This window comes from Homo sapiens, chromosome 8, assembly GCF_000001405.40.
Source record: "Homo sapiens chromosome 8, GRCh38.p14 Primary Assembly".
NCBI classification, from domain to species: domain Eukaryota; kingdom Metazoa; phylum Chordata; class Mammalia; order Primates; family Hominidae; genus Homo; species Homo sapiens.
The window spans coordinates 9,175,948-9,186,475 of record NC_000008.11 but is presented as its reverse complement, the minus strand read 5'-3'; the positions used below and the strand labels follow the sequence as shown (position 1 = coordinate 9,186,475).

Below are 10,528 nucleotides of genomic sequence, written 5' to 3'. Positions count from 1 at the left end.
AGTATCCTATGTTCATAATTGCAATAAAAGGTCTTATTGTAAATGCTATGGTCAGGAATTTGAGGGGGGTTGGGGGGCACATCTTAGGTTAAGGAGTTTTATTAAGGAAGGTAACCTGTAGTTGCCCAGGAAAATTGATCATTGATTTTCCTGCTCAAATCGTGAATTTGAAGTTAGGCAGTCGAGTCTTACCTTTTTACATCATTTTTCTTTTCTTTTTTTGTTTTATTTTTGAGATAGCGTCTCACTCTGTCACCCAGGCTGAAGTGCAGTGGTACGATTAGAGCCCACTGCAGCCTCCAGCTTCTGGGCTCAAGTGATCCTCCTGCCTCAGTCACCTGAATACCTGAGACTATAGGTATGCACCACCATGCCCAGCTGATTTTTAAAATTTTTGTACAGGTGGGGTTTTACTATATTACTAAGGCTAGTCTCAAACTCCTGGCCTCAAGTGATCCTCCCACCTAGACCTCCCAAACTGCTGGAATTATAGGTGTAAGCCTCCACATCCAGCCCTTTATAATACTTTTTAGGGAATTTTGGCTTTTAAAAATGGTTATTGCATAGAAAGATCCTCTCTTCTTTTATTTCTCTGCTCCCTACTCCCCTTTTAAACTTGAAAAAAAAAAAACAAAGTATTTACGTTGATATTCATTCACACACTTGTCTAAGTCCTTAGGGATATTCAGATGAACCTTCTGGTGTTAGGGAAAATAACACTTTCTTCCAAGCCTTTCCTTGAAAAACACAAATTTCCATTCCACATTGCAGCAGGTGATGAGACAAGATGGTGGCACCTTAGCTCATGTAGGCAATGGAGATGAGAGACTATCATTGGTCTGACGTGGCTGAAAGGCTGCCTGACAGCAGGACCTTGGGTCAGATGGCTCTCCAGTGACCTGACTCTGCTGTCCTGCATCCCCAAGTGGAGGGGACAGAATTAGAGCAAAAGCTATTTACAGACAAACACTACTGTAATGTCCTATCAGATGACTTTCATGCGCGTCCGTGTGAAGAAACCACCAAACAGGCTTTGTGTGAGCAATGAAAGCTTTTAATCACTTGGGTGCAGGCGGGCTGAGTCTGAAAAGAGAGTCAGCAAAGGCTGGTGGATTATCATTAGTTCTTATAGGTTTTGGACTAGGCGGTGAAGTTAAGAGCAATGTTTTGCAGGCAGGGGTGGATCTCACAAAGTACATTCTCAAGGGTGGAGAGAATTACAAAGAACCTTCTTAAGGGTGGGGGAGATTACAAAGTACATTGATCAGTTAGGGTGGGGCAGAAACAAATCACAATGGTGGAATGTCATCAGTTAAGGCTATTTTTTACTTCTTTTGTGGATCTTCAGTTACTTCAGGCCATCTGGATGTATACGTGCAAGTCACAGGGGATGCGATGGCTTGGCTTGTGCTCAGAGGCCTGACAATGACAACATTGTCCACGAATAGAGGGAGAGACAAAATAAACAAAGGATTTTCTGCCACTCCTGAAATCGTAAGTCAATGATCTGCACATTAGTATAAGATCTGGATGAGATATTTAATCCCCACTTTCTGTGATTAGAAACATACCCATACACACATACGCATCCCCTTAACTCTTAAAACAATAGAACCATGCTTAGAATGCCACCTTCTATCCCTAGAAAGTCTAGGCAAGAACAACCGAGCCAGTGTAGGCACACAGGAAAAAGCCTTTGAAAGGAAGTCACACCATCAAAAGCCTTCATAGACCCATTGGATAGCACTAAAGGCAGCAAGTTTTGTTTGTTTGTTTTGTTTTGTGTTTTTGTTTGTTTGTTTTGAGACAGAGTTTTACTCTTGTTGCCCAGGCTGGAGTGCATTGGCACGATCTCGGCTCACTGCAACCTGTGCCTCCCGGGTTCAAGCACTTCTCCTGCTTCAGCCTCCCCAGTAGCTGGGATTACAGGCGCCTGCCACTGTCAGGCCTCTGAGCCCAAGCTAAGCCATCATGTCCCCTGTGACCTGCACGTATACATCCAGATGGCCTGAAGTAACTGAAGAATTACAAAAGAAGTGAAAATGGCCTGTTCCTGCCTTAATTGATGACATTCCACCACAAAAGAAGTGAAAATGGCTGGTCCCTGCCTTAACTGATGACACTACCTTGTGAAATTCCTTCTCCCGGCTCATCCTGGCTCAAAGGCTCCCCCACTGAGCACCTTGTGACCCCCACCCCTGCCAACCAGAGAACAACACCCTTTGACTGTAATTTTCCTTTACCTACCCAAATCCTATAAAACGGCCCCACCCCTATCTCCCTTCGCTGCCTCTCTTTTCAGACTCAGCCCGCCTGCACCCAGGTGAAATAAACAGCCTCGTTGCTCACACAAAGCCTGTTTGGTGGTCTCTTCCCACGGACGTGAGTGAAAGCCACCATGCCCAGCTAATTTTTTGTATTTTTAGTAGAGACAGGGTTTCATCATCTTGGTCAGGCTGATCTCAAACTCCTGACCTCAGGTGATCCGCCCACCTTGGCCTCCCAAAGTGCTGGGATTACAGGCGTGAGCCACCGTACCTGGCCAGGCAGAAAGTTTAAAATTGGATTTTAATGCTATTTAGGAAATGAAGAGTAAGGTGTGTAAAATGAAAATAAATCTTGGGACCCCAGAATCACTAGGCGAAGGGAAAAGTCATGTTGGGAACTATGGCAGGCAAACCTGCCTCCTATTTTACTCCTAAATAAGACTGCTAGAAAGATAAAAAGCTGCATGCCTCCCTCACAGTTTGCCCACAAAGGACAAAGGACAGACAGAACTCAAAGTGATTTCTCTGAGGCCTGCCTGAGGCAAATGCATATCTGATAGCTTCCTCTGCCCTATTGTTTTTGTAAAAATGCAGATTCACTGAACCAGACTACGTTGTGTATTCAGTAGAGGGTTGATCAAGAACTCAAAAGAATGCAATCTCTTGTCTCTTATCTACCTATGACCTGCAAACTCCCTGCTTCAAGTTGTCCCACCTCACTGGATTGAACCAATGTACATCTTACACATATTGATTGATGTTTCACGTCTCCCTACAATGTATAAAAAAAACTGTGCCCCAACCACCTTGGGCACATGTCATCAGAACCTCCGAGGCTGTGTCACAGGTACGTCCTTAACATTGGCCAAAAAATCTTTCTAAATTGACTGATACCTATCTCAGATATTTGGAGTTCACAGGTGCAGTGCCCCCACAGAGTCACTCTGGGCCACAGGAAAGATCTGAGTGGCAGGTTTGTAATAAATAATATTCATTTTCTTTCTTAGATTTCAAAGTGCATCATCACTGTGTGTGCGTGGCTGAGAAACAACGCAGCGCTGTCTACCAATTCCCTCTGGGCTCATAAGCAAGTGCTTGTTTACAGGAAAAGAAAAAGTGGCTCTTTAGCGACTTATATTGATGAAATGAGCCATACTAAGTGTATCATTGATCAATTTCCTGACAGCTCCAAATCAAAAGGTCAGAACCAAAGAGAGAAGGAAGCTGGCTGGGGAAAAGCCAAGCAGAACTGACCCAGGTGCTAAGCGCGAAGTCATTATCTCTCTGGATTCCCTACAGTGAGGAAACAGAATCCCATTTGTCACCTCCTGGCACTTATTTCTGGACTCATAGATGTTTGTCACCAAAAGGATGCTGAACAGTCTCTAGTCCCTCTGTATCATTTTGTTAAGGAGGAAGCTGAGCTCCAAGTAGAATTTGGGATTTCTATGAATTTCTCATAGTCTTAACAGGCAACGACTAAGTGACAGAGCCCAGGGGTCCTGGGTTTCAGCATGTGCCGTGCATAGCAACAGGGAGAGCAGAGGTGTCAGGGGAGAGAAATGAGCCCCAGTCTCATCATGTGGCAGTAATTGGGGATGCACCTTTTCTTATATTAATAGAGATGAACAAACACTGCTCCAGCACATTCACATTTGAATCTTCCTGAAAACCGTGCTTTCCCATTTTGCAGATGCAGAAACTGAGGCTCCAAGAGCAGAAGTGACACCGAAGTCACCTAGCCCGTAAGTGACCCTAAATTTTATGCTGCTGCTTCCCTTTTCTTGTGTGTCCCTTATTTCAAGAAATAGACCCAAGGTGCAGGTCCATTTCCTACCTAGACATGCAAACCTGACAGAGACAAAAAAAAAAAAAAAAAAGAAAGAAAACCAACAGAAAGCACTTTATATCTATTCTTGACCAGCCATAGTGAGGCTGGCCCATCACACACACACACACACACATTCACTTAACTGTTAAAACAATTTAACAATATTTAGAATGCTTGTCGTACAACAATTTCCTAAATGAAGGTCAATACTTACTATAGTATAAATTGAAGTGAAATTCTTCAAGGAACGACATGATTCCATTCTGATTCAAAGACTATTGCTACTGCCACATGTTTCTTTAACCTTTAAGAATGTCTTATTTTTTTGTTTTGTTTTGTTTTGTTTGAGACCGAGTTTTGCTCTTGTTGCCCAGGCTGGAGTGCAATGGTGCAATCTCGGCTCACCGCAACCTCTGCCTCCCAGGTTCAAGCGATGCTCTTGCCTCAGCCTCCCTAGTAGCTGGGATTACAGGCATGTGCCACCATGCCCGGCTAATTTTGTATTTTTAGTAGAGATGGGGTTTCTCCACGTTGGTCAGGCTGGTCTCGAATTCCCGACCTCAGGTGATCAACCCACCTCAACCTCCCAAAGTGCTGGGATTAGAGGCATGAGCCACTGCGCACGGCCAGGAATGTCTTAAACTCACATTCTTTGGTAGAAGAAAAGATTAAGCTGCTATCATTCCTGCATTCCACTGGCAAGTGTCCATACTTTAACCTTTCTTTTCAAGTTATGGCTCATCTCAACTTCCCTGGCTTTTCCTGTTGGAAATGAAAGTCTGACTCTAGGCAAGCTAGAAGCACTGGTGTGTAGCACATTTGCAGCCTCTTTGCTCCAAGCGGAGAATTAAAACTGTCAGATGCAGCCCCTGTGAGGCCAGTTCCCGGACGCTGGCCAGGACAGCAGCAGTAATTATGAACCAGGGCGCCTGGTCTCAAAGTTGTGCTCAGAGCAGATTTATATCATGTAAATGATTGTTCTAATAAAGAGATTGGTACATTAGCCAAAACTCAAGGACATGCAAAATGTATTAGGCAATTTATAGTCCAACAAGTTTCCTGTGGCGAAGGCAGTAGAGAAACATTCCCAAAATGAATGTCATTTTAATTCTTAATCTAAAAAGAATTATAACCACAGCTGGTTTTCCCCACTAAAATTAATTCTGCATTATCATCTATAATGGAGCAGGACACTAGAAATCTGTGATGACCTTCTGTCCCTGTTGACATCAAGAGTTCAGCACCTGCTCAACACTGCAATCACACCTCTCAAATGTACAAAAGTTGCATTAATTCCTTGGAATTATATAAGCCTAGGGATCTGGCATCATCATTTAGACTCCTTCAGTATATGTTCGATCTATAATAATTGCCACGGTTAAAAAGAATCTTCAATGCTTGTATATTTTTAACTGCATTTAAAATAAAAAGGAAATGGAAAAATATTTTATTACCTGCAGAAACATGATTCCAAGTAACTGCAGTGTTATTAAAAATGGTGCAATAAAATTCATAGTAAAAAAACATAATTACCAAAAGAAAAAAAATTGGGCATGGTGGTGTGTGAGTCTGCCATCCCAGCTACTTGGTAGGCTGAAGCAGGAGGATTCCTTGAGTCTAGGAGTTCAAGCTGTAGTGTGCTATGATCATACCAGTGAATAGCAACTACTGCAGCCTGGGCAACATAGCAAGACCCTGTCTCTATAAAAAAAAATTAATTACAGTAATATAAACATTCAAGTTTTTTAATTTAAAAAAAGAGGCACAGAAGTTAATACAGGTGATAGTGGCTTCTGCTGGTAGAAATTACCAATAGTAGATGATACTCAAGAGCTTTTTGTGTTCTACTCTGCAGAGAATTGTCTATCATCAAGGCTGCTACTGGCCTCTCTAGGAGCTTTTGTGTCCACAGAAAAAGATGTTCCTCTGGCCTGCCACAGCCTGCGGAAATGTTTGCCCTAGGTGGCAGAGTGCCAGCTGAGTGTCAGCCCACAGATGAAGGAGCCTTCAACTTAGGCCAGAACTTTGTGCAGAATGCAAAATATGCACCCCTCTGCTGGCCCTGTCTGTAGAAGTAAAGAAGTTAAGAAACAGATCAATAAATGATGGTCTATTCACATGATGAAATACTAGGAAGTCATCAAAATTATGTTTTAAAGAATATTTAATAGCCAGGCGTGGTGGCGGGCACCTGTAATCCCAGCTACTCAGGAGGCTGAGGCAGAGAATTGCTTGAACCCAGGAGGTGGAGGTTGCAGTGAGCCGAGATCGCGCCACTGCGCTCCAGCCTGGGTGACAGAGCAAGACTCCATCTCAAAAAAAAAAAAAAAAAAAAGAATATTTAAATATTTAAATCATTTAACTAATGATTTTGCTATTGATACACGTCTGCATTTGAAAAATTTTCTTCAATGGGCAGGAATTATTCCTATAATAAAATAAATTATATATAATTTTTAAAATCTATGATTCTATCTGCTTTTCAGTCAAGGAAGTAATACCACCTTGTTACTTATGTTAAGCCATATTCTTTCCACTTAAGGACACGTGGGGATGTTAAAGCCATAAGAAAGCAATTGATTATTTCTCCAAGGCCGTGATCTCCTTAAGGATGTGCAAGTAACATATGGTGGTTTAAAAAGAAAAAAATTGCAGCTTAAAGTAGGAGGTAAGGGTTTGAATTCTACTTCCAGTAGCCATTAGGATATGACCTTGGAAAACTACTTAATGTCTTTGATTCTGTTTCACCTTTTATACAATGGGGTTAATCTGCCTATCTTAAAGACTGCACTGAGCATAAAATGAACTCATGGAACCATAGCATAGGAACTGGCACTTAATAGGTACATAATAATTGCAGTCTTATTACAATGATCTTGTATACGTCACACATCCCCTAGCCCACTGCCTTGCACATATTAGGGGCAGAATAAATGATATGATCAATGGCTTGCGTTACACTTTGAGGAAGTCTGGCAGTTTCAGGAAATCTAAAATGTTATATAGCTGGGTAAGCCCTACAGAAGTGGCCTTATTAGAACAGACCCTAGGTTGTGTTAGTGAGCACAGAGCCTCTCTCACAGATCATTTCTCTACTACCTGTGTGTTTGGGCACTTGTTACGTGTGCTGATATATGGTTTCAACCTCCTGGGGCTCTTCGCCTTTCATGGGTGAACCTTTAAAGCACGGTTCTCTCTATGTGGGAAAGGAAACTCAGAGCTTATGAACGAACCTGGACTTGAAGCCTTATAGCAATCTCCAAGGCCAGCACTTATACTAACCGAATTAATACGAGAGGGACCTCCACTGGAAACTCAACTGAATAGGCAGATTTAACAGGGGAAGGACCTTTGTAGTGGTGCCAGGAGGGTATAAAATATTGGGCCTGCCTCTCCCTCAGAACGCAGAATTAGAGGATGTGTATCATGTGGTCAGGAAGCGCAGACAGCAAGACTTAGGAAAAGCTAGGTAAGCTGTTCAGGGCCATAAAATGGCTTTTGTAGCTCAAGAAATTCCAGGGCTAGTATTTAAATTATTTCTTTTTTTTTTTTTTTTTTTAAGATGGAGTCTGGCTCTGTCACCCAGGCTGGAGTGCAGTGGGGCAATCTCGGCTCACTGCAAGCTCTGCCTCCCGGTTCGCGCCATTCTCCTGCCTCAGCCTCCCGAGTAGCTGGGACTACAGGCGCCCGTCACCACGCCCGGCTAATTTCTTGTATTTTTAGTAGAGACGGGGTTTCACCATTCAAAGGATGGTCTTGATCTGACCTTGTGATCTGCCTGCCTTAGCCTCCCAAAGTGCTGGGATTACAGGCGTGAGCCACCGTGCCTGGCCTTAAATTATTTCTGTGCTTCTACTTAGATAGGTAGACTCAGACATTTTACCGTAGAATCCTAGCAATTTTTATATCATTCCTGTGTTCTCTCTTTTCCAGTCATTTTTGCTTATGTTCATTTTTGCTTATCTTTGTTTTTTAAAATATCAGCTTATCTGAAAAAGAGTGATTAGCATTACCGGCCATGAGCAGAGCTATTCCCCCAGACCATCCTGACATCCTTTCTCATGGAGTAAATTATAGATAAGGAGGCCACTTCCCCCAGGAAAGGGATGTGTCAGGACAGGCAGGGTTAGGTTCACTGTAAACCTAATGAAGTCAAGTGAGGCCAGGCACGGTGGCTCACGCCTGTAATCCCAACAGTTTGGGAGGCCAAGGTGGGAGGGTCACCTGAGGTCAAGGGTTCGAGACCAGCCTGGCCAACATGGCTGAACCCCGACTCTACTAAAAATACAAAAATTAGCTGGGCATGGAGACAGGCATCTGTAATCCCAGCTACTTGGGAGGCTGAGGCAGGAGAATCGCTTGAACCTGGGAGGCAGAGATTGCAGTGAACCAAGATCGCACCACTGCACTCCAGCCTGGGCGACAGAGGGAGACTCTGTCTCAAAAAAATAAATTAAAAAATAAAGTGAAAGGGCCTCTCACTTACCTGCAACCCTCCCTTTACAAAATTCTGTATGATGAATGTATTTGCTTTCCTGCACATAAGGATCCCAAACTTCATAAACTCCAAGCCCCACAGCTCTGGATCTACCACTGGTGACCCAGCAAATCAAATGACAGCGACAAAGGACAGACTGGCGGAGGCTTTGGGGTCTGTCCCCTCGAGGGGGTCTGGTTTCTGCTGGAAAGTTTTGGCATTGCTTTAAGGGTTTCGAGCTGTTCCTGTACAAACCCCAACACAGCGAGAGGTTATTACTGGATTTGTATGATTTTATCTATTGATGATTGATATCTGAACAAAGCAAAAAACGTTTCTTTGGTGTCGGGTGCAACACTGATTCAGGCCATCCTCAAGATAACATGAAGCAGGACTGGAGTCTCAAATAACAACCTCTCCCTAAGCAGCACTGAAGAAGCCTAAAAAAGGAAAACAAGAAAAGGAAGGCAGTGCCTCCAGGAGCCCAGCGCTCTTTGATTATAACCCACTGAAGCCACCTGCGTCCTTAAGAGGAGCGGGTGCTCAGGTGGACAGCTGACTCTTTAGAAACTGGGCCTCGTGGGTGGCACGGGACACTCCGTTGCTGGCGTATCATTTGCTCTTCCCCACATGGGCAATACTGTGGTGGGTCTGTATGGTGGGGAATGAGGGAAGGGCTGGTAAATATCTTAGAATAACAAACAAACAAAACCCTGTACGGGATTTCTCAAAACACTAAGCCTTTGTTTTCATTGATTCATTGATTGATTGATTGATTTTTTTTTTTTTCTCTAGAGAGAGAGTCTTGCTCTGTCACCCAGGATGGAGTGCAGTGGTGTAATCTCAGTTCACTGCAGCCTTCAACTCCTGGGCTCAGGGGCACTGATTTATTAACATGCTCTTGGCTTTGGAATATTCTGAGAAACTCTTAGCTCTGCCTTTTACCATTCTAGCTGTAGCATTAAGAAGAGGGTCTTATCGAAGAAAAAAAAAGCAGACTAAAGGGTAAAGTTGGTTTTTGTTTTTTAGAGATGGGGTCTTGCTTTGTTGCTACAAGTATATGCCACCATGCCTGGCTAATTTTTTTTTTTTTTTTTTTTTTGTGGAGACAGGATCTTGCTATGTTGCCCAGGCTGGGCTAAAAGTTTTCATATTCAATAGTATTACAACTAAATATTTTTTGTACCCAAGAAGAAAATACATTAAAACACTAACAATAGTGGTATTAGAAGGTGGGTTTTTAATTTTCTAAATGTTCTTCAGTATGCATGTATGACTTTATAACATAAAAGGGACATCATATACTTGGAAGGGGTGCATTTTATTAGTGATTTTGTCCCCAGCACTTAGCCTACTGGAAAGCAACCAATACATACTGTTTGAAATGAATAATCCATATGTAAATGAGTTATTGGCCTTCTTAACAGCACTTAGTGGAATCCACTGAAGTTGCAAGACCAGCCTGGATAAAAGACAGCTGCAGCTCTCCTCACACTATTTTAATTAACCTTTCCTCCATCTAATTATTTTTGTGACCAGGGGGTCCAGTAAAAAGGTAAAAACCTGCAGACTATACCATGATGCCGCTTTAAGTGACAATAACAAAATTCACGGTTTTCTAAAACTGCTAGGGTATTTTGAATGACCCTGGTTCTTATGCTAAGTTGATGTTTAATTCTTCAGCTTTAAAAACATTATTATTAATCATTTGCACAACAGAAAAATATGCCTCTTGTTTCAACCAGATAGGTCAGTCAGTAATCAACTTAAGCCAAGTCAGTGACATTAAAATTCTGTTTTAATTCCGACCACCTGAGGGTCCTCTCCATGAGATGCTTTGGCCTGGTCAAACTTGTGTAGTTATGTTAAATACTGGATCCTGCGAAGAGAGGGAAACACCTGTCTTGGGGTGGGAGGGTGGAGACAAGCTGGCACGAGGCTTATTCAGTTTTC

General features: G+C 42.8%; 2 annotated features.

Annotated features, from left to right (window-relative positions):
* Positions 1,498 to 2,483: an enhancer, noted in NCBI's record as "NANOG-H3K27ac-H3K4me1 hESC enhancer chr8:9041503-9042488 (GRCh37/hg19 assembly coordinates)". NCBI's record gives its function as "activates a minimal SCP1, AML or CMV promoter by ChIP-STARR-seq in naive and primed H9 embryonic stem cells {active_cell/tissue: H9 hESC(naive and primed)}" and the evidence as "EXISTENCE:reporter gene assay evidence [ECO:0000049][PMID:30033119]".
* Positions 2,484 to 3,469: an enhancer, noted in NCBI's record as "NANOG-H3K27ac hESC enhancer chr8:9040517-9041502 (GRCh37/hg19 assembly coordinates)". NCBI's record gives its function as "activates a minimal SCP1, AML or CMV promoter by ChIP-STARR-seq in naive H9 embryonic stem cells {active_cell/tissue: H9 hESC(naive)}" and the evidence as "EXISTENCE:reporter gene assay evidence [ECO:0000049][PMID:30033119]".